Raw genomic sequence first — 27,613 nt, 5'->3', positions numbered from 1 at the left:
TAGAATTTCACTGTCTCCTCAAGATCTCTTCCCCACTGCTGCCTCTTCAACATATTTAAAACTTCAAAGAGAAATGTGAGGGTTTTTTTATTTTTTTCAGTTTCCCTTCTCTGGTCTTCCCTGTTCATACATTTTCAATTAAAACTCATGAACTCACAAGTGAACATGCATTCTTACCTCTAGTTTTATAGAAAATGTTCACCTCTCTTCCGTTGGTCTAATCCTTAGGTTGGTGACATTGCTCTTACCTTACTGTTTTTTTTCTCTTGGACTTTGTGCTATCAAATACTCTTGGCATTTTCCCTCTTCCTTTCAACTGGCTCCTTCTGAATAAGCCATAAATATAGTAAGATCTCTCACATTAAAAAAAAATAAACAGGTAATATCTCCTCCCTCATCCATTGTTTTATTGAAGGAATACATCCAGCTGTCTCCTTTTTTGTTATCAGAGAAACATAGAGGTAATCCCTCTTTTCATTTTGTTACCTCCTCTGGCTGATTCTTAAACTTACTAACTTGGGTTTGTGAACTTGAGGACTGCATTCTAGGCCTACTGTTCTGCTGATTCATACCTGCAAATTCCATCTCACTTATTTTTTTTCAGTTCCTATCTCACTTGGACATTAACTGGGAGTCTTCTCTCTGTCTCTTAAAAATTTCTCATCATCTCTGATGATGCTAGGTACCAGATCTTTCCCACCTCTGAGACTGTCCTGTTTCAGCCTCATTTACTGCAACTCTTTCTGACTTCTCATAGAGTTGCATCTTTGACTATCTTCCCACTGTGGACACACCTGTAAGCTAAATAAAATTGATATTTGCATGACACCCATATCAACAAGTTCAACCAAGACACTTCCTGATTCCCTGAGATGTAATTCCAGCCAGACATTTCCAAAATCTTACTCAATAGCCTCCTGGACATACACCCCATAGACCCCAACACGACATTCCCCAAGTTGAACTTTACAACCTATTCTTCCTCCTGTCCACCTTCTTGGTGAACAATATCACCAACAGACAAGCCAGAAATCTGGGTGTCTTCCGACACTGCTATTTACCTCTCAACTCCTATGTTTAACAGCTGCCAAATCCTTAAATCTGTTGCATGTACTTTATCTCTCCATCCCCATGGCTACTGCTGTGATTAAATATGCATCACTTTTCTCTGGGCTATTGAAATAGGTTCCAAACATATTTTTATATTTTCCATCTCTTACATGCTTAAAAAGATGTGAATTGTTTCCTTATGCCCAAGCTTCTTGAAATGGCTCCCTTCTCTGGTTTAGCCACTGTCTAAATTCTTTTTCTGTGTTGGCTGTGGCGAGGCACAGACATACCGAAGACTCGCTGATGAAGGCTATCAATTGTTTCTTGAGAAAAATACACACTCTCCCACGCACACAGGCTCACACGTTGTTATAATGGCATCAAGGGATTCATGGATTCCCTGAGGTCTGTCAAGAAATCCCATGGTCCAACCTGATTTCTAGCCACACTACTCTCCAACGCCTTCTACAATAGCAAATATGTTTAGCTTCCCCTAAATGCCATATTGTTTCTTGCTTCATGATACTGTCTCACACAACCCCTGCTCGCCACGTTCACTTAGTAAGAGAATAAAATCCACTCATCTGCTGTCTGTTAGCCTTAGATCGCCTTCAGGCTTGTATTCATTCTTTCCTCAAACACATAGGTCTGGGTTGTTTTTCTCCATTATAGCCTTATTATGTATGACTTCTACAAGACAATAAAATGACCTAGGGTAGACAGTGTAATTTAAAGCTAAAGAAACTAAGAGTCAGAATGACATGGGTTTGAATGCATGGTAGATATGGATGTATTTGGTAAAGGGTATCATGTGCCTAATCCAGCTACCAAGTTACTCTGAGTTTGAGGATGGAGAAATTTCTTCAGTTAACTTAGTACCATATAAAGATTTATAATGGAAGTGGCCTTTAAATTGGTTTTATAAGTTATATAGGATTCGGAAATGCAAAGTTTGGAGGTAGAGAAGAAAAGTGAGAATTCTCCTACCTGGACCACATTTACTAAGCTGCTTTCGATTGTAAAAATTAGAACCTTGATTGTGTCATTAGATTCTTTTTCTAGAACAGTATTAATCATAAGAAATTATCACTCATGTGATTCATGTGAATTATTTCCTCACCTATATTTTTTGTTAGAAATATAGTATTTTGGAATTCATAGTGAGCTTATTTTTCCATTGGTCAGTTCCTCATTATATTACTGATATATAAGATTTAGCACACTGTTTCATAAAATGAGTTTTCAGAAAATCTAATCCTATGGTAAACTCATCAAGAAAGTATTCTGTGTGCTAATAGACTTGTGATTCACATTAGCATGGTAAAAGCTCTTAAAAGACCTGTGTTAAAGAAACTTCAGTTGTTTAATTTACCACTTCACGACTTATCTGATCTTTTAACCACTTTTTCCATAATAGCTGTCATTATTTCAAGGGACTGCTTCTCCACACTTTGGGAAATTATAATGAACTATAAATATTCATCTGCTATGCATAGTCTTTCCAAACAGAACTACTTATTAAGCATCCAAAATAAAGTTGTTTCATATTTTTCTCAGCTCTCAAAGAGGAGATTCCAAAACACTCCTCAACTTAGAGGACTTATATCATAGGCCATATATGTTTTGCAAGTATTTTGCTGTTAACCTATTGGGAGATAATTGTTTTAATGTATTATGAAACAATCAAATCATAGTATCACAGATCTTTTGGAACAAAAAGGATGACTATGTTTTAAATGGTTTTCCCCTCCGCCACTAATTTCAGGAAACTGAAGCCTAGAGAAGCTTAAGAACTTAGGGAGTATCACAGAGAGAGTCTCTAGTGGAAACATGGACTAAAAATTGATCTCTTGAATGAGAGCCCAGTATTCTTTTCTCACTAATCTAATCCATTGCTTAATAACATGTTTATATTAAAAAAAAAACATTCTACTTATGATGACAGTTGAAATTTTTATGACAAGTTTCAAAACAAGAACTAGACGAGTTTTACATGTATAATCATTGCTAAACATCCTTGAAATTACATTTTGCATAACTGAGAACATGTCATAAAATAACTTTAAAATAAAATTATAATACTCAGAAGAAATATTTTTAAAACATCCAGTCTTTCAGAAGTATAAACTCTATAAAATTAGAAATGTAAAGTGAAAGTCAGATTCATTTTATTCTCATTTGGTTATTTAGTCTCTCATTTAATAAAATGTTTCTTTCCAGCATGAAACCACTCTTGGGGATCAAAGTCATTAGCAGAACAAGCAGATCATGCTTATTAGTTAATTCTAACCAGTTCTGTGGTTTAATCATAAGTTGTCTTTGTAAGGAAGAGGCATTTCTGTTTATTACGTAATATGGACCTTTAAAATTTTTTTCACCATGGAACCATATCATACCTCCTTCCTAATAACTTCGAAAAAATTAAGAGATATGATGTCATCAATCAATCATACAAAAACCAAGTTAAAAGGAAAAGTATATGCTGTCCTCTCCTTGTATGAAATTAATTTATTTTATTATAATTTCACATTATTATTGAAAATGCCAGGTAATAATACAGAATTTGGGAGCTGTCAAAGGTATAAAGTCATCCATTCCTACATTTTTTAACATAAAGAGAGTATTTGTGTGTACATAAAACATCCCTTTAATTCCAGAAAACACATCCAACCTTTTTAAAATTAAGGAAATAACACACAACATATAATATTTTAACTAGACAATATTAAATGCAAAATCAAAGTCCAGTGGCCTTAGCTCCAACATGTCTGTAACTGTATCACCATGAGGAAAATTAATGTTGCAAAGTAAACATGGCAATAAAATATACAGTATATAGTATGAGATATATTTCCTAAAGAAATATGCATTCAGAATATTGAACCATTAACAAAGCATTGAGAATTCATATATGCAAATTAATTTTTTTTTAATTTTTTCTTTCAGATTTTCTACTCTCCCCTGGCCCTCTTCATACCCCCTTCAGTATATGCTGTTCATCTTCAATTCAATCTTCTTTACCAATTTTGGATCCATACAGAGGTAAAACTTTTTTTTATCTTTGTAAGTTTTATACCTAAACAGCCTGAAGCAATGTCCTGGAAATCCACTAGCAGATGATTTATTGTGTAAGAAAAATCTTTGTCTGCCTTTTCTAAGGAGAAACATCTGTTCATTTTTATTCGTTTTTAGTGAATATATATTGCAAAGTTTATAAGAAGCAATGAGGCCAGTTGGTCTCAATTAAATAAAACAATTTTTTGAACTATTAAGTGCCAAAACATTTTAATACTATATTCAATACAATATCTTCCTGTATTACAGTTTATTAAACATTATTTACCAAGAGATGTTGAAATTCATTTCAATTCAGAGATATAAACATATGTATATGTGTATATATAAATATATCTATAATCTGTTGAAACTCTTTGAAACACCCTTAAAAATTGTATAGAAATTATGAAAATAATTTTTGATTGGAAAACTTGCTCTAACTACAGAGATTAAATTTTATTTAAAATTGTTCAGTATATTGTTAATTTTTTTCCAAAAAAACCTGAAGAAATGTAATTTTAGAGTCTTCCGTGGCATTTCAAACTGTCAGATTTGAATGTTTGTAATTATTAAGCAGCTGATTGGTTTATGAATATTTGTACCAATCCTATTGCTAAAATACCAAAAATCACAGACCTAGAAAAATTCTTACCTATACACACAAGCACTCTTTTAAACATTTGGTATTTATTGGAAGCCTTTTGAAGTTACTAGAGGAAGCATGTTGACAGGTGTTGCAACTGGTTAAACAACACTACAAATCACAGCTGCATTATATGTGAAATCTTGATACAACAAAGTGCATTATTCCATTAACCTGCAGTATTTTATGCTACTGATTTACTTGGAATAAAGAGACTGTTACCGTGACTTTGGACATATGTAGCATTATTTGAAGATCTATCATGAAATAGTATTGTGTTTTATGATACTTAACACACATCAAACACTCAATACCACAACCATCTGAAAGAGATGTTGCGGCCAATTCTGACTCTAGAGGTCAAAGACCAAATTTGTTTAAATCAGTGGAGGGAAGCTTTCTGATGATTTACATGGAGGGGTTAAGGGAGAATTACATTTTATAGCAGCTCTGCTCCAGGTCACGCCATGTGTCGGGTCAGGTATTAGTTTGGATACAGAACAATAGTGCCTCAGTCACTTTCACCTCTTCCTGTGTCCCGATGAGAGGGCCATGAGCTAGGTCTTGAGTTCCATTTCATGAAGTAAAGCAAGAGTGGAGAAAAGCCACTGGTGAGACTTATTCCTGTTTGCCAAGAACCTCCAAGTGGCTTCATTTCCACTTCAAAAGCAATGCTTAGAACCTCCCCCTTGTGTTACACTTTATGCTTTTCAAAATACTTTACTATGTGTGGGTTCCTACAGTTGATCTGCATGGGAAGCAAGAACACATCTTCTGAAATTCATGGTTTGGATCTTGGAATTTTAAATTGTATTATTAACCGTGAAAACATTTCTGAAATATTTCTCAACCGTGTAGTTACATTCGTTTATTATACACAACATAGAATAGTTTGTTTACAAATAGTAGAATAATTCAGGATGGAGAGCGAAGAGATTGGACACCATGACTGCTTCTGGAGAGAAAGACAAATGGAATAGAGGACTGGAGTGGGAGGAGTATTAAGTATTTTTTTAAAATTATTTTTATCATTTGCTTGTCTTGCTTTTTTCAATTAAGAGTTAATACACAGATTAATAAGTAAAAAGTAAAAACTGAAAATGACAGCCTTTAGTCTAGAAAGATACTCACTTTATGTTTTCCTGTACTGTAAATTGTATGAAACCCTATAGGCCACTTGCATACTGTTTAATATCAGGCATCATACTTGGATCTCCATTGACAGAAATGATATGCGAGCTGTAGAGATGACCATGTTAGCCAAAGAGCCCTGCATATTCCTGAATAGAGTTTCATTCTTACAATTGTTTCACTTCTCCTAACATCCATAAAAATCAGTTCTCACTCTAAGGGGAATATGATCTTAAGAAGATACTGATTTTTTTGAAAGTGAAGAAGATTCAGTTCTCCTAAAATCAATCACATTAGAATAAAAGGAAGGAAAAAAACCTTAAAATCACATTTTTGAAAGACTGTGAGATAAAAAATAGGCCATAAAACGTACCAAATAGTTTATAGAAATTTTCTGTTTACTTTTGAGTTATTTTGATAAATAAACAAAGTCTAGACCTGGCACAGAAGCTCATGTCTGTAATCCCAACATTTTGGGAGGCAGAGGCGGGCAGATCACCTGAGGTCAGGAGTTTGTGACCAGCCTGGCCAACATGGTGAAACCTCATTTCTACTAAAAATACAAAAATTAGTTGGGTGTGGTGGTGCGTGCCTGTAGTCCCAGCTACTTTGGAGGCCGTGGCAGAATAATTGCTTGAACCTGGGAGGCGGAGCTTGCAGTGAGCCAAGATCATGCCACTGCACTCCAGCCTGGGCGACAGAGGGAGACTCCCTGCCCACCTCCAAAAAAAAAAAAAAAAAGAAAAAAAGAAAAGAAAAACAAACAACAAGGTCTATTGTCATCCTCTTTTTTTGAAAGTTATGAAACATTTGGCTTGAAACTCTACTCTGTTGCTTAATTTTTTTGATTATATTTTTGTCTGTGTATTGTTCATGGATCTAAAGCCTCTGCAGCACATATTCAGTTATAGTCTCTTCTTGTGAATTCACTAAAGATAGCAAGAAAATCTTTTTATTTAATACATGTTTTTAACTTAAAACTGTGGAAGGTTTTAAGTATTTTTTTAGATGTCAGGTGTTATTTGGGTGTTAGCTGAGTTTTCACAGTACACTAGCAATCATATAATGATACTATTACACTATTACCTTTGTTTTATCTTAAATTTATTATCACATTGTTTATGTATATATCATGTAATGCTTGAGTAGAGAAATGTAGCAGATAAATAACTTAATTCTTTGATATTGAAGATTTGAACCGAATGATTCAATGATATTTTTTTTTCTTTGAGGTAGTCTCACTCTGTTGCCAGGCTGGAGTACAGTGGCACCATCTCAGCTCCCTGAAACCTCCACCTCCTGGGTTCAAGCAATTCTTCTGCCTCAACCTCCCAAGTAGTTGGGACTACAGGCACGCACCACCATGCCCAGCTAATTTTTGTATTTTTAGTAGAGATGGGGTTTCACCATGTTGGCCAGAATGGTCTCGGTCTCTTGACCTTGTGATCTGCCTGCGTTGGCCTTCCAAAGTGCTGGGATTACAGGAGTGAGCCTGTTCAAAAAAATTAGCCGGGCATGGTGGCGGGTGCCTGTAGTCCCAGCTACTCGTGAGGCTGAGGCAGGAGGATGGCATGAACCAGGGAGGCAGAACTTGAAGTGAGCTGAGATTGCACCACTGATGACTTTTCATGAACAGAAATATTAAATTTTGAAGTTCACTATTTTTTTTAAATATTCTCTAAGAAATCTTCGACTATCACAAACTCTGAAAGATAGTCTTCTAGGATTACTTTTGAAAATTTCAGAGTTTTAACTTTTACCATTATTCTGTGATATTCTTGAATTAACTTTTACATATGGTATGAGGTAGAATCAAGATGCCAGATTTCTTTGTACATAACCACTATAGCCCCATTTATTATAGAGACTTAAAAAAATCCATTAGATGTCCGTGATGACTTGTTGAGAAAAAGTTGACCACATATGTTTGTATTTATTTTTAGACTCATACTCACTTTCATTGATGTATTTGTTTCCCTTTATGTCAGTTCCTCAATTTATTGATTATCATAGCTTTAAAGGATGCATTATTCACACATTTGTAAAATAATTTAATTTTCTCTAGGATTTTTGTCATGCATAATTTTGTGGTCTTTGAATAAAGACAGTTTTGTTTCTTTTTTTTCCCCTATATTTGTGCTATTTTTTTTCTTGCCTTATTGCTCTGGCAAGGAGCTAGATGGTATAAGACAGAAGTGGCTAAAGTAAAATGTAGGCATCCTCTACTGACTTGTTTTCTCTCTCTCTCTCCCCACCTTTCTCCCTCTCTTTGTGTGTGTGTGTGTGTGTGTGTATGTGTGTCTATTCTAGGGATTAAATATGCATTCCTATCATATCTTACCTTGAATTAATATAATACTTATCATAAATGTAAGACTTTTATAGTAATATAATTCAATCTAAGCCCTCCCAACCTTTTAGCTAGCATTCTCACATGTGCTAATCTTTCACATTATAAATCCCAAAATACGGCCGGGTGCACTGGCTTATGCCTGTAATCCCAGCACTTTGGGAAGCTGAGGTGGGTGGATCATGAGGTCAGGAGATCGAGACCAATCTGGCTAACATGATGAAACCCCATCTCTACAAAGCAATTAGCTGGGTGTGGTGGCAGGCACCTGTAGTTCCTTCTACCTGGGAGGCTGAGGCAGGAGAATGGCATGAACCTGGGAGGCGGAGCTTGCAGTGAACCGAGATCACACCACTGCACTCCAGCCTGGGTGACAGAGTGAGACTCTGTCTAAAAAAATAATAAAAAATAAACAAATAAATAAATCCCAAAATATTGTTTTTATTATTTTAGATTTAATTAGTCAGTTATATTTAAAGGAATCAAGAAGATAAAACAGTTAATCTTCTTTATTTGCCCAGATGTTTACCTTCTAATCGTCTTCATTCTTTCCATTAACCTAAGTTTTCAACTGTTATTATTTCTTTTCAGACTGAAAAACTGCATCTTTTGTAATGCAGACCTGTAGCAACAAATCTATTCAGTTTTTGTCTACCTTAAGATGTCATGTTTTCCTTAATTTTTGAAAGATACTTTTCTGAATATGAAATTCTTAATGGATATTCCTTTGTTGCATTTTTTTCAGTACTTTAAAAAGTTTATCTCATTGTCTTTAAACTTTTATTTTTTCTAATAATTCAATTTTCATATCATTATTATATCATAGATAATGTGTCTTTTCATTGCTAGATGTTTACAAAATTTTTCTCTTCCTTTTAAAATATTAGCAGTTTGACTACAACGTGCCACTGTGGTATTTAAAAAACATTAATCTGGGGCTTACAAGTATGTGCTTTGAAAATCAAATTTGGAGTTAAGGGGTCCTGGTCATGATTTTCTTAAACATTGTTTCTGTCCTTTTCTCTTTCTACTCCCCTCTGGGAACATCAATTACATGTGTATTCTGTATGACACTACCTTAGAGATCAGAAATGCTCTGTAATTTATAAGATTTTACTTTCTCTTGTATCCAGATTGAATAACATATTAATTTGTCTTCAAGTTTATTTAATCTTTTACCTACTTTCTCCAAGCTGCTATTGAATCCATTCAGTGTATTTCTCACATTAAATATTATACATTTATGTTCTAGAATTTGGCTTTTTTAAATAAACAGTTTTTCTCTGCTGAGAGGCTCTTTCACTTACTGTGACTATTTTGCCTTTATGTCCTAAATGTAATAATTATTTAAAAATTCTTGTCTGCTAATTCCAATATCTGGTTCATATTCAGGTCTACTTCAATTGACTGTTATTTTACTTGATATGAATCGCATTTGTGTTTTTTCTTTGTACATCTAGTAATTTATTGTCAATATTACATGTAAATCATTATGGCAGATTTGTTGTAAAGACTCTAGATTCTGTTTTGTCCATCTGACCATTCCTTATTATGATTCTAGGAGGTGGTGAAATAATTGGCTAACTACCCTGTATTTTTGGAGACTTTGACTTATACATTGTTAGGATATGTGGGGATTTTTGGCACCGCCTTTAGCCTTAGGGCATATTCCTTATCCTTGGTGATCTTCAATTTTAGGGCAAGCCTTGTCTTTTTTTTTTTTTTTTTTTTTTTAAATAATGAAATGCTGGAGGTGTTTACAAAGCCCCTCTCACGTGGCAGGATTTGAACTCTAAATTCTCTTTTGCTAGCACCAGACAGCAATTGAAATCTCTGCTTAGCAATTTTACAACTTTTCAACCTCTGAGTTTTTCATCAGGTTTCTTAGTGTCTTGCCCTACATGTGAGTAATTTAAGAGTCAGCCAGGCTTTGAGGGCACTTTGTATGCAGATATTATGGCTCCCTTTCCGTGGTCCCTGTCTTTCTAGGATTTCCCCCTTATATTTCCAGTCACTTTAGGTATCCTTAAATTTGGCCTACGACTCCTAACCTAGTGCATACACTGCCCATTCAGTGATGTAATTGACAAACTATCAGGAAAACAAATTCTTCTCAGCAACACTCTATACTCAAATAACTGCCCCAATTAGTCCTTTTGTCTGGAGATATATTTATGAGATACCTAAATAGTAAAGGGCAATAGAAATCAGAGTACAAGAGAGCTGCAAGGATGCAATGTGCAAAATGAGAAAGCATAAGAAATGTGCAGCAGAATTATGAAGTAATATATACAATGAAATAATAGAAAGCAGAAGTTTTCAGAAGCTAACAGATAAAGAGAAGAATAGAAAAATTTTACTCTATAGCAGCAAACGCAATAGAGTGGTAGCAGGATGAGCAGAGACTTAGAAGATCTGACTTCTGAGGACACAGATAATAGAGTGTTTTGGTTATTGCCCTTTAGCATCCAAAATTAATGGAAGTCTAAGAGTATTTATCTAATCTTCAAAATTATATTAAATTTACTCAAGATCCACTCATGTGTAAAGATACTTTTTTTTAGGTAACTATCTCCATTCTATTTATCTTTTAAATAACACATCAAGAAAGAAAAAAATACATACTATTTGTGATATGTATTTTAAGTAATGATTGTAGAGAAACATGTTTAGTGAATATTAAATTTCTGTAGCTGTTATTTCACCATTTGTGTAGATAGGAAATGTATTGGAATTATTAATCTACTTGGCACATATTCGTTATCAAATTAAATATTTATTTTGTGTAAAGGAATATGTTGCCTGGGAGATTTTTTTTAATATTTCATATACTATGATTATAAAAACTTTAATATGAATATTGTAAATACACAATTAGTCATCTCATGCTTTTTAAAAAAACAACTTACATTACAAATAAGTAAATCATTTCATTAATGTAAACTGCATTTTTTATTTTGTGGCCTTTGGGATTAAAGTGCCTGAGTTTGGCTCCTGATTTTATTTGTTACTGTGCCTATGAACTTGCACGGAGTTCTTTACCTTCTTGTGCTTCAGTTTCCTCCTGTGTGTAATGAGGATTATAACAATACAAAGTATCATAGTCTGTTTTCTGTTGCAATAACAGAATACCACAGACTGGGTAATTTATAAATAATAGAAGTTTATTTGGCTCAAAGTTCTAGAGGCTACAAAGTCCAAGATCAAGGTACTGGCATCTGTTGAGGGCCTTCATGCTGAGATATAACATGGCAGAGGGCAAGCAATCATGCAATACGGAGAGCAAATAGGGTGCAAATTTATCCTTTTATCAGGAGCCCATTCTTCACATAACTAACTCACTCCCCATTTAGGTAGTAATAGTATTAATAAATTCATGAAGACAAAACCCTAATGACCTAATCACATCTTAAAGATTCCAATTCTTAAATCTGTCACAATAGCAAGTAAGTTTCAATATGAGTTTCAGAGGGGACATTCAACCATAGGGTATACATTGTTGTGAGGATTAAAAATGTAGTTCATATTTCAATCTAACAATTAAAATAATGCTTGAAACTCAAGCACAAGAAGGCAAAGAAGGTAAAGAACTCTGCCCAAGTTTACAGTCATAGTAACAAATACAATCTGGAGTTGAACTCAGGCAATTTAATCCCTAAGGCCACAAAATGAAAGATGCAGTTTACATTATAGAAATGATCTTACTTACTTGTAATTTATCACATAGAAAGTACTAAAAAATGTTTTCAGCATTGTTACTTTATCTTTTTTGAAATATAGATACCTGTTTTACTGTATGTCACTTACCACTCTTAGGCATCATGATTATTCACATACATTTTGTGACATAATTTTAATGCAATAGATATTTTGTTTAATATGAATTATTAATATGAATAAATGCAATCAAATTTAAGACTTAAATAATTAATGAATCCCCAACTTACTTTAGGGAAAAAAATTGCATTCTTAACTATAAAAATTTGAGATTCTAATCATAAAGTACATTGTTTAGGGTTTTTTTGTTATTTATTTTTTGATCTGTAAACTGATTAATGTACAGATTATTACATATGACAAGTTCAACATATTTTTAAAATATTTCAATTATTGTGGTCCACAGACATTTGTGAGAATCTATTGCTATTCTTGTAGCATCTTGCTACTACACATAAGACTAAGTATCCTAGTCTTATGTACATAATAAAAAAAAGTTAAATGGTGGAAAAAGAGTTATAATTTTCTTCATGAAGAAGTAGCTAATTTTGAAGAATATATTTTAAAAGGACTGAAGTTTAGAAGCACAGTTACAGTGGTCTCAGCCCAAGAATTCTCAGTTACTTATAGTTACTGAGAATTGGACTGATATATTCCAAAGAAAATTTAATGAGTATCATTTCTATTTATTTATTTATTATTTATTTATTTTATTGTGAGCCTATCCAGTATTCATTATTTTTCAGGAAGTATTTTCACATTAAATTTTCAATAACAACTCATTAGAATTTGTAGTGGTATTACCTCCAATTAAATATACTGAATAACTCACCCTGGGCCATATGATTAGTAAGTGTCAAACCTAGGGTTTGTACAAAGTAGTCAGACTCCATATTCTTTGCTCTAATCTACTACACTATGCAGTTTCCCTCTACAATGGTCATTTCTGATCTTAATGTTGTAATAAATAGCCACCATGTATTAAGCATCCAGTACGTGCAAGCAAAAATTGCTCTCTTAATTCTCACAAAATAATTTGAATCTCTGAAGGATAATTAAAGTTTTACAGGTTGTAAAGAATGAATTCAGTAATGGGGCTTTATTTTAAGGGTATGAGTAGACATATATGCAGCAGGAAACCATTCTAGAAATTTAATAGAAAGTCAGAAAACTAAATTTTTTATATTCATCAAACTCTGTGATCAAACCCCATTCCTTTTAAGGCTAAGAACGTTGATATTCTATGATTTATGTAAGGCAACACAGCATTCATGGGAGAAAAATTTTGACCATACTTCATTCACTTGTCACACTTTTTCCTCAAACAATACATTTATCTGGGTTTCACTTGTTAGACCCTGGTGGGTGGCAGCAGAGTTCACAAAGAACTGATATGGTAGAGTTAAAAGATCAAGGTCATTGGCTAAGGCCAAGATCAGTTGTAATTCTTCCTGTACCAAATAATTGTGCATACTTTAGCCACATTTACTTCCCCCATCTTAAAATCTAACCTATTTTCAGAGGCCAGCCCTGATGAAATACTTCGGTGATGTTCTATTGCTTACTGAATAAAGTCTAAATTCCTTTCATTTCATGTTCTTTGTGTAGCGCCTTCCCACTATATCTCCTGGTCTATGTCTCATTACTTTCCATACTGTGCAGCTCAATAATACTGGACCGTTTTCCATTTCTCAAATTCATCTAATACCCAATTTTTGCATTTTCTCTTCTTTTCATATTTTCCATATGCTATTATTCCATACATTCTTCAAGGCCCAACTCAAATTCTCCCTTCCCCAGAAAATGTTTCCCCTGTTAAGAACAAACCACTATATAGCTCAGACCATGTGTTAGTCATTATGCTAATTATTTTACATGTATTTACTTATTTAATTATCACACAACCCATGGTCCCCACTCAAAGTGAGGAAACAACTATACAGAGGTTATGTAATTGCCTACTGTTGTTGCAGCTAGTTAGTAGCAGAACCATGATTCAAAGCCTGGTAAACAATTCTCTCTCCTTTCCTCCTCTGAAATCCTATATCATTGATTTTACATCTCTTACAGCTAGGGTGTCATATGTCTCAGCTTGCTTGGAAGAGCCCCAATGTGTACCTATTTTTTCTGGCATAATTGTTAATAACACAGCCATTCACTCTTAAAACAGTCATTATACACTGGTTGAGTTGTCCTCCTAAATAGTTCGTTAATACCGCTTGCCTTTCCATCTCTATTGCCCTGCCTGAATTTATAATCCTTCATCAATTACATAGATGGTTACAACAGAATTCTGGTTTTTTTACACCTACACACTCTGCCCTCTCCTATATATTTTCATACAACAATTGTGATGATTATTTTAGAACCCAAATAATATTAGGGTGCTCCTAACATGAGAAAAAATTTCTTAAATGACTTTCCCTTGTCCCCAAGATAAAATCAAAACCCTTAAATTCATTAACAGATTTCAGGGCTCTTAGAAAATGACGCTTGTTTACAACTCCCATCCCATCCCATAAGTCAGCCAGTACAGCTAAACTGCCCTGCTATTTGCTTCCTGAAATACTTGGGGGTTATCTGTATTTGCACATGTTCTCTCTGTGATAACCTTTTTTAAAACATTCTTCATGACGCAACCCAATTACCACTTCCTCTGCAACATCTTTCTTTTACCTCCTAGTAAGAGCTCGATGCACTTTTCTTTACACTAACTCTGTGTGTATTTCTATTTCCATATTGGTAGTTAAGAGTTAGGAGCACGAGCTCTGTTTGGAGAGATAAATTAGATAACACATTAGTTTCTGCACATGGGAAGCATCTAATTATTAATAATAATAGTGAAGTTTAATTCTTATGCCACTCTGTTGTATTTGTTGCTTAACTCTCTCTCTCATTATTCTCTGAATTCCATGATAGCAAAAAAAGTTTCTCATTTATTATGTGTTTGTGTGTATATGTAAACATTTTAAACATACAAATATACACACACATAAATTTTAATAAGCATTGTATTTAAATAAAAAATTCTATTGATTGTTGATAATTATTGCTAGAGTTAAATATTAATGAAGATGCTTATGGGTTTCAAATCAATGTTTCCAATACCTTACTTAACATATTCTTAGAAATATTTGCTACTACCCTGAATCAGCATATCTAAAATGTATTTTATTATGCCTTTCATCACCTTAAGTCATCTACTCTTCTACTTTGCTTCCATTTCTCTGAAGTCAACATCAAGATCAAATATTGATGACACCTTTGGCTTCTTGTTCTCTCTTGAAGCCCATCTTTAATGGAAATCCTATACATTTCTTGTTCTATGTAAAATAATCTTTCCTTCTATTCTACAGTTACCTTTTCAGATAATTCATCACCCCATTGCTTATTCATGTATGCATTTCTAGTGTTTATATAAATATAATGGAGTATACATATAAGTATATACATATATATATATATATATGTATTCCAAAGAAAGGGGCCTTTCAAGTCTTCTGACCTAAACTGGCACCCTTGTCACTAACAATTTTAGGATCACATATACATATATCTATATGTGTATACGTGGGTATATATGTGTACATATGCACACATATATGTATATATGTGTATATATACACATATGGAATACATATATATGTATATTCATATATATGTGTGTATATACATATATATACACATATATATGTATATTCCATATATATACACACACATGTGTACATGTGTACTTATATGGAATATACGTGTGTGTGTGTGTGTGTGTGCGCGTGTGTATTCCAAACAAAGGGGCCTTTTGAGTCTTCTGACCTGAACTGGCACCGTTGTCACTAACAATTTTAGGATCACATATACATATACATATATGTGTATACGTGGGTATATATGTGTACATATGCACGCATATATGTATATATGTGTATATATACACATATGGAATACATATATATGTATATTCATATGTATGTGTGTATATACATATATATACACATATATATGTATATTCCATATATATACACATATATATGTATATTCCATATATATACACATATATATGTATATTCATATATATACACACATGTGTACATGTGTACTTATATGGAATATACGTGTGTGTGTGTGTGTGTGTGTGTGTGTGTATTCCAAACAAAGGGGCCTTTTGAGTCTTCTGACCTGAACTGGCACCGTTGTCACTAACAATTTTAGGATCACATATACATATACATATATGTGTATACGTGGGTATATATGTGTACATATGCACGCATATATGTATATATGTGTATATATACACATATGGAATACATATATATGTATATTCATATGTATGTGTGTATATACATATATATACACATATATATGTATATTCCATATATATACACATATATATGTATATTCCATATATATACACACATATGTGTACATGTATACTTATATGGAATATACGTGTGTGTGTGTGTGTGTGTGTGTATTCCAAACAAAGGGGCCTTTTGAGTCTTCTGACCTGAACTGGCACCCTTGTCGCTAACAATTTTAGGATCACACCCTCCTTTGAGAATCTGCTGGGTTGTAGTGACTCTTTCCCAACAGAAAATAAAGAACCAAAGTTAGAAGAGTTTTACTGAGCTACCTGAAGCTGGACTGTCTAAAATTTCATGAATCTTTATTAAAAAATGTCTGTTGTGAAAGGATTGGAATTTAAGCTCTTAGACACAAGGAACATGATGGAAATTAATTTGCCAAATTGAAGAAGAGAACATTTCAGGGATAAGAGAGTAGTATGACATAATGAATAAGATTATACATTTTGAAATCAAAGAGAAATCTGTCCTATTTTAGCTTCATTAGGCATTTGTCCAGCTTGTTTACTGCTTTGTTCTCAGAACCCAAAAGAGACTGTTTTTTGACTGAATAAATGAATATGACTATTTGCTAAACTTACTTAGACTCTCTGACCTTGCTTCCAAATCTGTTAAGTAACAGTAATCATACTCACCCATAAGAGTGTTACGTGGATTAATGAAATAACAAATGTAAAGCTCATAGTTAGGAACATAATATGTTTTCAATGAATAGTACTTATTTTGAAAAAGCCAAATGACTACATTCTGGAATTGGTTCATAAAGTCCGAACTAGAATTGAAGCAAGGGTAGGGTCACCTGCATGCATCAGAATAATGTGAATGCTTATCAAGATACAGAATGATTGCTCCCTTCCAAGAACCACGTAAAATAAATCTCTGGTGAGTGAAGGTAGGAATTTGCATTTTGAACAAGCATTAGACTGAATGTAAATGGAATAAATTTTGAGCATCATGAACATAGAAGCTGATAGTAAACATCTTGAGGATAATAACTATGTTGTATTAATTTTTGTTTTCCCAGTGTATAAAACTTAGATCACCACCAGCAAACATCTTTTTAATGAATGAACGCACTGATTGTGTTAAGTAGATTGTCTACAATATGTTTGTTTATTGTCAGGAGGCAGAGAAAGCGACAAGAAGAATGTACTCATAGGAAAGACCTGAGTCAGAATGGATGTATTAATAATATAGATTTTTTAATCCCTAAGAGGACAAGGGAAAGGATATGCTTTAGTAAGATAGCTTGTCCTTAGCAGGAAGCTATGAAAATGGAAATGACAGGGCAAATGAACTTAAGACGTGTAAGTCCTTATAGATTCTAATCTAGTGTTTGAGAATGTATTATATAATATTTGACTTTAAAATATTAGTATCTGAAAATATTTTTTAACAGATAAAAGTTTATAATGGATGACAAAGCGATCTAACATTCGAGAATGGAAGCTAAAATGTAGATTCGTATTTGCTTTGTTTACTAAAGTATCTAATGCTCAGATGATGTCAGGCACATAGTCGGTTGGCAATCAATAATATTTGTTGACTAAGCAGTAGAAGTCATATCTGAAATTGGGAATATGATCATAATGGCAGTCACAATACAGTGAGCTTTAGAAAGAGTCAAAAGTATGGAGCTTGTACCATAAGACTGTGGATTGGAGTTTTGGACACGGATTACTTAACCTTTCAGTTTTTCAGTTGCCTTCTTTTAAAATAATGTTATTATTACTCATACTAGCATGATTCCATTTATCACTGGATGCCTAAACCTGTAAATATAAAATGATGTTACATAAGGATGAAGTTTGAGATGGTTAAACCTATAAATGTTTCCAGTTTTTCTTCTGTAAATCTACTCCGTGTTGTTTAAAAATAACAAAATAACTTATTCTCCTTTGAGGGAACATGCTTAACAGTTACTTGTGTTCATTTTTCCAAGTAGAAACCAAAAGTGTTATTCAAAAGATATGCTGAAACAAATTCAAATAAAATGCTAACTTGTCCTGCTCTTGTCTTTTTGTTTGAAGAATAATGTAATCATAAGTGACAAGAATCAGCCTTCAAGATAATTTATTATAAACGCAGTCCTTTAAAACTTTTGTTTATTGTATAAACATAACCTAGTCCCATTCTTCATTAAAACTAAGCCTTTAACTCTTTATCCCTGTGGTATGGATTCATCAGAAATTTACTCCCTCTGAAGCTCCTTATGATCCCAACAGTCCTGATTCCTCCAGATTGTTTTATTTCCAAACTATAAATATTGTTTTTTCACTCCTTAGTGTGGAAATTCAGCTACCTCCATATTACATGCTTACTGAAGTAGAAAACTGTCTAATCAAACAGGAAAACATTTGGCCGTGAATAAATCAGCATTTGTCCAGCATTTCAAAGTGTGAAACTAGGCAGACAAGCACATATCCTAAGAGTTCTGCTTTCTCTTCCTTCCCTGCAGATAAATCAGAGGCTAATATGGCCGCCACTACCATCTGTCTAAATACTTGTGTGGTTGTCTTGAATTAACACAGCAGAAATAGTGGAAGAAGTAATTAAGATTTTATTTTTACATTTCATCACCAGATGCTCAATAATATAAATGTATCCATAAACATTCAGGTTGATTAAGCTTGTAACAAGTAAAACAATAAGTGTTTAAAGATCAACTAATTCAGAACAAGAAACTATTTTAATATGTTGACTTATAGTGTTCATGGATTTTATTCTTTTTCTAAAACTTTAAATTAGAATTGCTGTAGATTTTATTGATAGTATAAAATCATATTTTTATGTATATTCAAACAATAAATGCTGATGTTGTCATTTATTCTACCTTTAAGTTAATAAATACATAAATTAGTAGACATTAAAATGTAATTTCCATTGTTCCACTCTATGACGTCTTGAAAGATCTTACTGCAGTACCTTGTACTCAATAAATAACCAGAGAATAAATGAAACCCATACAGATTATTTCAATTTCTGTATAATCAGTTGAAGAAATTTATGAGCAAGAAAGAATAATCTAAATTCTCTTCAGTAATAACCAATGAGAGTATTTGCAAATCTGCACTACAGGAAACTAAATAAAAGCACACATCTACACTAAAATTAATTTTCAGCTTGAGACTTGGAAAGGGAACTCATTTTGCTTCTTATTAGACAATGCTTGTGCCAATTATAAGTTCAAATTGATTATAAATTCAAATATCTCTACTGCGAAATAGTAATTGAAAAAGAAAGAAAAATGAGTGATTTTTTTCATCAGTCCCAAAGGAAAACAAAATTATGTGGAAAAGGTAACTTGTTTGTAAAATCTTTTTTTTCTGATACAGTTTAAACTTTCCATTGAAGGGTCCATTGGAGTGTAAATTTCCTTCAGGCAATGCTTGTGTATTACATCATTTCTTTTCACTTTTAAAACCTAGTGAAGTCCCTAGAAACTCAATAAATATTTGCAGAATAAATGAACTGGCTGACAAGAGACATCTTGCTCTCTTGTTATGCAAATAGCTTTGAGTAAGAGATTTTGATAAGAATTTATAAATACAGGTTTTAACGCTCTGAAATAGATTATTGCTAGTGTTGATAGAAAACCCTTATTGGTAGTTTAGTATTTAAAACAGTAATTGTTCAGCATTTGAATATTTAATATTTATTAAATATATTTGTATATATTTAATAAGGTTAATATATATTTATATTTAATATATTTAATATATATTATTATTAAATGATAAATATATTTAATAAGGTTAAATATATGACTATAATACATAAGATTTGTGCCCTTCAGGTTTTCCATCTGCAAATGAGAATATGGGAATATCTTATTGAAGGAGCACAGAAATATTTATTACTGCACACTTTTTAGATAAGTATGCATGAGCCTATAGTGAATTATAAAGATCTTTCCAAATAAATTTTTGTACATATGCACACACACGTTTAGATAGATAAGATAGATGGATACAGATAGATAGATGAAAGAATAAATGAACAAAAAGAGAAGAAGAAGAGAGAGAAAAAGAAAGAGAAAAAAATAAAAGAGGAGGAGGAGGAACAGAAGTGAGGTGTGGGAGAAGAAAAGTGGCCAGGAAAAAGCCAAGTAATTATGGTGTACATATTAGTTCATTTAATTTTAGACTTGGCTTACACTGAATTGTCACTAATTTACCTGAAAATTAATCTTTAAAAATTGTCATTTTCAAACTTCATTTTAAGCATATCTTTCTCAGCTGAATCTAACATGACAAAGATTTTCATATCAGATAATAAATGTATGAGAAGCTGGGCTTAGTATTTCCCTTCAATACTGGTGGCAGTGAATAAGGAGACCCACAGTGGTCTGGGCTCCGCTGGAACATCATTCATGCATGACGCTGTAACGAAAAGTCTTGACTAGTTATAGTCAATGTTGTCACTCTAACCTATGCTCATCAAAATGCAGACATCTATTCCACTATGAGATTTCATTTCACTTCACCCAAACCCAGTCATTCCTCAGCATTTAGCATATCATCTTGCACATGCATGTTTATAAAGAGGGTTCTGTAAAACACATGCTTTTTAGGATATATTTTCCCTATTATGATTTTTCCCTCTCAGACAAGAATCATAAATATTTGTAAGCATCTTTTATTTGGGATGAACTTTACAATTAACCATAGATGCATGCCTTCTTTCTGAAAAGTAAGTGGTTATAAATATTCCTATGACTTTTCAATAACATATTCTAGTATTTTAGTATCCATTTGCAGATGTAAAAATTGAATAATAGAAATATTATGTGACATTCCCAATATTTAGGAAGTCTCTTCTCCAACCTCAATAGTCAGAATGAGGTAAGAGGAGGCAAATTTCCAAGCAATTCAAACAAATGAAATAATTTGTTTTGAACAAACTGAATATTTTTGATGAAGATAAGTCTTGTTCTGTAACTAAAATCACCAGTTAATTGCATCTCTACTTTTAACCAAGCCACAAAAATCTAACTAGTCAATGTTTGCCAATCAAAGGAATCAAGAGAAATAATTATGAATTATATAGAATAGAATAAGTTAATTGTATATAAAATAATTTCAGACAGGACATTTATTTAGAATATTTATTTTGATGCTTTGTAGAATTCAACTCTAAAGTATTTTTCAATTTAAATGGGAAAGACACAAGACACAGAATTACATTTTTTAGGTAATGTAAGGTAGTGAGAAAACTTCTGAAAATTGTATCATGAAAAAAATTGTGATCAGAGTAAGCATTTAATTAATTTATCACATGTACATAGGTTATCAATTTCCATAGGAAAATTATTTCAGACTGGTCACCTAGATACAATGGGAGTTTCATTAACCTTTTAGGTCTCTACATTATTCAACTTAATGTGTAAGTGCAGGATAGGGCGGATCATAAGGATTCTCAAAAGAAATTTCATAATCACTTTTCCATCTCTGGCTACTTTCATTTGAAACTGAAGCTCTCATAAAACTGAACTCAGATAATATAAAATAATTTATGGTATTCACTTGCCAATGATCACCAGAATTTAATCACCTTATTATCCAGTTTTACAGTTCCTTGCTCTGTGATTTTGTTTCTTTTGTTTATTTGTTTGTTTGTTTTGGCTCCTTCATTTTAGCTTTTTATCTTAACTTGCCCAACTCACTTGATCAAAGATCATGCTCGGACTTTCATTCCTGGCTTCAAACTCCAAGAGCTCCAGACTCATGCTTTGCCTTTGGTCCTGGTAATGACCACCACACTCACTCCCTACGACATTCCTCTCACCAACTCCCAGATTAGAACACAGAAATTATACAGTGTTTTCCTCCTGAACAGTAAAGGTCTAGAGCACGGAATGACACTCATACCCACAAAGTAGAATTCTTCAACTTCAGCACTATTGACATTTTGTACCAGATAATTCTTACTGTGGGGCTTGTCCTATTTATTGTGGAATGTTTAACAGCACTAAACCCACCACTGCTCACTAGATGCCAGTAGCACTTTTCCCAGTTATGACAACTAAAATTATCTCCAAACATTAAAAATTGCTTGGGGGGGTGGTGATAATCACCCCAATTTGAGAACCGCTGCTGTAAAGAAATAAGAGTATGAGAGGAGTAAGGGGGATTTATCTATTGAATATACTATTGTCAAACAATCACGATGTGTAAGCAATGTTGTATGTGACCTGAGAGACACAGAGAATGGTAAGGCACAATTTTTATCCTCATGAAACTTGCAATATAGTATGAGAAATGAAAACAAGTAACTAGCACAAAGAACTGGAAGACATGAGAATTAATGATCTCTCAATATGCATTCAGAGAAAGGAAAACAAAACTCATTGGAAAAATCAAGAAGAGTGCTTGGAGAATTGGTCTCGAAGATAAAGCAGGATTCCAAAAGGTAAGATAGAAGGTTAAGGTCTTAGACGGAGAAGAAAGAGAACATTAGAAATCACTATCCAGAAAGAATGTGAACAGCTTTGAACTCTGAAAGTTTTGGACATTGTTTGGTTCATTACAAGGAGTCTTTTTATTTGGTTTCATTTTATTTTTGGTCAGGGGAAATGACATAACGACGGTCTTATGGCTCCCTCTTCTCTTGCTTTTATATTTAACTCTTCTTCCCCACTTTCACCAGAGACTGGAGAGGAAGAAATGAGGAGTTTGTGATCATTCCAACAAATTGTCCAGAGCATTTTTGTTGAATGAAAGTGAGTCATCATGGAGCTTACTGTTACAAAATTGTTATTTGTATTATTTATATATTTATGATGTTACTATACAAATAAAATAGCTTAAGAAATAGTCTGAAAAATTTAACAGTTTTAAAAAATGTGCCCCAAAAAATGTTTTAAGTTTCTGTGAAGTTTGGGTGAGAAATTAGCACTCAGGTTTTACTTATCTGTAAACTGACAACACAATATAACTAAGAAAGGCAAAGGAAATAACCTAGTCAACTCTGTTTAGAACATTGGCTCTTAAAGCTTTATGAACTCATGTTTCCTTTTCAGTATATAATAGAAATTGTAGAATTTCTCCCCAGAAAAATATCATAGGTGCTTATTTATAAAATTTCATCTAAAACTTCAGGGTCTTCCTGACTTTCTGAACCCCTTCATGGCCCTTCTAGGCATCCATAGTTCTCAAGTTGTAAGACCGAGAAAAAACAACTTACAGAATACAATATTTAGAGCATTGCTTCAGAGACCAAAGGAGCAGCAAAAATCCCTAAAATACCATATGGGGAGGTTTAGAAGCTGAAATCCCTGGGATCTTTATAAATACCTGGCATCATTTTAACTAATATGAAATACAAAAGGAATTATCATTTTCTATTAAAGTTGTAAAAGTTTAAATTATTTTTATTCAATGGAAAATTGCTGTATGTCTTAAAAACAATATGATGGATAAGTAGAAAGATTCATGAGCTGAAATCGGAAAGGCTTTATGGCTTATTCCAAGCTGATTAAACTTAAACTAGTAGTTTAACCTCTCTGAGCTTCAGTTTTATGGGTTTTTTAAAAATAATGAAGTATTGGACTATGTTATATTGAAGCCCTCTGTATGTCCTAAAATTTGATAATTTAAATAAACCCATCTATGTCTAAAAAATTAATACAAACAAATAACTTCTAAAAATGAGAATTGCTACAATTATTCCCAGAGTAACATATTTTCAGGAAGTGATTCAAAGCTAGACGTCGTCGAATTGCCAAATGCCTGAATTTGCAAAAATAGGCGATAATTAAGCCGTTATGCTCAACCCTTAATAAATATTAATGAATTCTCCATGACTTTGAATTGGAAGGGTTTTTTACATGAGAGGTTCTGACTGGGCTGTCAGAATGATGAATCATCTCTCACTCAGAGGTGGTCTTCCCCAGCTCCAAGGTACTCATAGGCACTACCAGGAAATTTATCTGTGGTTGACTGTGTTGTACTTGGCTTTTAACTATTTTTTAAAAAACGAACTTTCAATATTGTTATCACCGTGCTTTAGCCTGCAGGAGCAAAAGATTTTCACCGCAATAAAGAGCTTGACATTAAAAAAAAATAGTGCACTCAGCCAAGGCTCCAATCATCTGCATGCACTCACCATTTGTGTGGCTTTACATCTGGCTGCACACACGCCAGGGCCTAGGATCAGAAATTCATCTGGGGAGCAGAAGCTGGTCAGTGTAGTCCTCTCCACCCACATTTGTTGTTTGTTTTTGTAACACATGTTGGGCACCAAAGAAACAAACAAGGGTAAACTGGTTTTCTCCTTTCCCATCTGGTTCTCTGTCATAGATACAAAGCCCAACCAAAGCATCAGATTTCAATGTCCTGACTGCTGAGGATCCCCCACTTTCTTGTTCTCTATTTTCCACCATTTTTCTTAACAAATAGTTTTTCACCAAGTAGAAAGCAATATAGTCCAATAAAATACAGGGTTATTTATCTGTACTTTCTTCCCAATTCCTGGTTATTAACAGTGTGTGCTTTACTTCATAGGAGTGTATTCTTTTATAAGAGCTATATATTCACAGTATTTTAAACTCCTGAAATTAAAAATACAAATAATCTTTGGTGTATAAATGAGCTCCATTGTATGAATTAATCCAAAGTTTTGCTGTTTGTAGGCCAAAATATATCTCTCATGGAAATAACTTTAAAAATAGTGGATAGCACCCCAGATTAGAAAAAAGAAAGAGAAAGAGAGGGAGAGGTGGGGAGAAAAGGAAGAAGGAATGAAGAAAGAAGGAAGGAGGAAAGTAAGGTAGGTAGTGAGAGGTAACAACGTGCTAGCAGCCCTTGCTAGCTCTCAGCGCCTTCTTGGCCTGGGCGTCAGCTCTGGCCGCGCTCGAGGAGCCCTTCAGCCCGCCGCTGCGCTGTGGGGGGCCCTCTGTGGGGCTGGCCGAGGCCGGAGCCGACTCCCTCTGCTTGCGGGGAGGTGTGGAGGGAGAGAGAGGTGCGGGAGCCGGGGCTGCGCGAGGCGCTCGCGGGCCGGCTCGGGTTCCGGGCGGCTGCGGGTTCGGTGGACCGCGCACTGGGCGCGGCCAGCCGGCGCCTGCTGGGCTTGATCAGGGTCTGGGTACCATGCGCGGACCGCCGTTCCCTCTTCGCGGGGTCGTAGGCCAGGACGGCGGGTCTCCGTCTCTTTCTCGCTTCCCCACTTTTCCTCTTGGTTGTCTGGGAGAGCTCCCTCTGGGCTGCGGGAGTGCCCAGGATAGGTACCGCAAAGTTTCCTGGCGGGTGCCAGTGACAGGTGAAGCCAACTGGGCTTCTGGGACCGGTGGTGACTTGGAGAACTTTTCTGTGTAGCTAAAGGATTGTAAACGCACCAATCAGCACTCTATGTCTAGTTAAAGGTTTGTAAATGCACCAATTAGCACTCAGTCGCTAACTAATCAGGTGAGGGGACTTGGAGAACTTTTCTGTCTAGCTAAAGGATTGCAAACGCACTAATCAGCACTCTGTATCTAGCTAAAGGTTTGTAAACGCACCACTCAGCACTCTCTCAAAATGGACCAATCAGCTCTCTGTAAAACGGACCAATCAGCTCCCTGTAAGATGGACCAATCAGCTCTCCGTAAAATGGACCAATCAGCTCTCTGTAAAGTGGACCAATCAGCTCTCTGTAAAGTGGACCAATCAGCTCTCTGTAAAGTGGACCAATCAGCTCTCTGTAAAGTGGACCAATCAGCAGGATGTGTGGGGGAGGGGGCGGGGCCGGATAAGGGAATAAAAGCTGGCGATCCAAGCAAGGAGCGGCAAGCTGTTGTCCTTTTCCTCGTTGTGGTAGCTTTGTTCTTTTGCTCTTTGCAATGTATGTATTGCTGCTGCTCGTTCTTTGGGTCCCTGCCACGTTTATGAGCTGTAATGCTCACCCGGAAGGTGTGCAGCTTCACTTCTCAAGCCAGCAAGGTTACTGAACCAAGGAAACTCAGGACGAGTCACTTTTACGAACTGTAACACTCACTGTGAAGATCTGCAGCTATACTCCTGAAGCCAGCGAGACCAGGAACACACCTGGAGGAAGAAACTGCAGACATGTGTGAAGAACAACTCCGGAGAAGCTGCCCTTAAGAACTGTAGCACTCACTGCGAGGGTCCGTGGGGCTTCTTTCTTGAAGTCAGCGAGGCCAAGAACCCACCATTTCTGGACGAGGGAGGGCTAAATTGACATATAAAACAAGGTTTACAGTCTTTTGCATGCAAATATTTCTGTCCGTTCTGAAATGGAAAGTGGAAATCCCTTAGCAGCTGGGCAACAGGGAGAGAGACAAGAACTCTTTTCAGGTGGGTAAACAATGTGCTTAATAGGGAGATGATGATGATGATGGCTCCTGTCCCAGAGAAGGATCCGCTTTGATATGTGGCAACATTGCCACAGCTTCCATTTCAAGAGGGGATGTGATGCCACAAGCTGAGGATATGGTCACCCCACCTATTCACATGTATTGAGCAACTGTAAATTGGGTGTTTTAATGCCAGAGGTTGTCAAAAAACAAACGCTCCTAGATAAAGAGTTTTGTATTAGAGATATGTCTGAGACTTAGGCAATTTATTATTTTCAGTTGGATTAGTGAGGATTTATGGACATTACTAGCAGTTTAAATTTTTAACAAACTTTTTCAAACATTCATAAAATTAGAATAACAATAAATTTATATATCCATTTTGTTTCAAAACTCAAGATTTTGATTAATTTGCATCAGTTGTCCTTTTTTCTTTGTTTTTTCATTGCCAAAATATTTCGTAGCATAATCTGGATCAGCTGTCGTGTATATTTCAGTTATACAACGCTAAACAAATGCATTTTCTAACAAAATGACAATGTTATTATAACTCCCAATGAAAATATTTTTTCCTATTAATACCCTGTTTATTATAAATTTTTGTTTTTTGCCTATAAAATGTCTTTTATGTTAGGTTTGTTCAAATCGATATCTAAAGGTGCACACCTTAAATTTAGTTATGCATCTTAAATTTTTTTTAATTTTAAGCAGTCTTATCTCTATTTCTTCCCGTGACACTGACTTATCAAATTCATATCAATGTCATAATTGTCAGTGACTATTTTGCCCTTTCGCATCATTTAACTCATTTCTTTATTCCTCATATGTCCTCCAAACGGAAGCTAACCCTAAAAGTGAGTCATGTCTTAAAATATCATAACAGTGTATTGATTTTGTCATTGGTAGGCTCTAACAAATCAGTTTAGATTGTGAATAAAGAAAAGTAAAATATCTTGGTATCTGCCATGGTTGGTGGAAGATCTCAAATTGTCCAGTATTATTCATGTAAC

The 27,613-nt window shown here is 34.4% G+C and overlaps 1 protein-coding gene across 7 annotated transcripts in view, besides 2 other annotated features; it reads left to right on the top strand.

The window, feature by feature from the left end:
- The window catches only part of AGMO (alkylglycerol monooxygenase), a 444,793-nt gene that overhangs the window by 139,366 nt on the left and 277,814 nt on the right, over positions 1-27,613 (top strand). For all 7 annotated transcript variants that reach the window (XR_001744759.1, XM_017012204.2, XM_011515402.4 and 4 more), the window contains exon 5: positions 3,997-4,092. Coding sequence is in view for 6 of the 7 variants with exons in the window: in XM_017012204.2 (XP_016867693.1) it covers positions 3,997-4,092 (96 nt within the window). In the remaining variant the exon portion in view is untranslated. The remainder of the gene's footprint in view (positions 1-3,996; positions 4,093-27,613) is intronic.
- Positions 14,432-14,726: a silencer, noted in NCBI's record as "tiled region #14752; HepG2 Repressive non-DNase unmatched - State 24:Quies". NCBI's record gives its function as "weakly represses a minimal TATA promoter and a strong SV40 promoter by Sharpr-MPRA in HepG2 cells {active_cell/tissue: HepG2}" and the evidence as "EXISTENCE:reporter gene assay evidence [ECO:0000049][PMID:27701403]".
- Positions 14,432-14,726: an enhancer, noted in NCBI's record as "tiled region #14752; K562 Activating non-DNase unmatched - State 24:Quies". NCBI's record gives its function as "activates a minimal TATA promoter and a strong SV40 promoter by Sharpr-MPRA in K562 cells {active_cell/tissue: K562}" and the evidence as "EXISTENCE:reporter gene assay evidence [ECO:0000049][PMID:27701403]".

This window comes from Homo sapiens, chromosome 7 (genome assembly GCF_000001405.40).
Source record: "Homo sapiens chromosome 7, GRCh38.p14 Primary Assembly".
NCBI classification, from domain to species: domain Eukaryota; kingdom Metazoa; phylum Chordata; class Mammalia; order Primates; family Hominidae; genus Homo; species Homo sapiens.
This window is presented reverse-complemented; position numbering and strand designations above follow the sequence as displayed.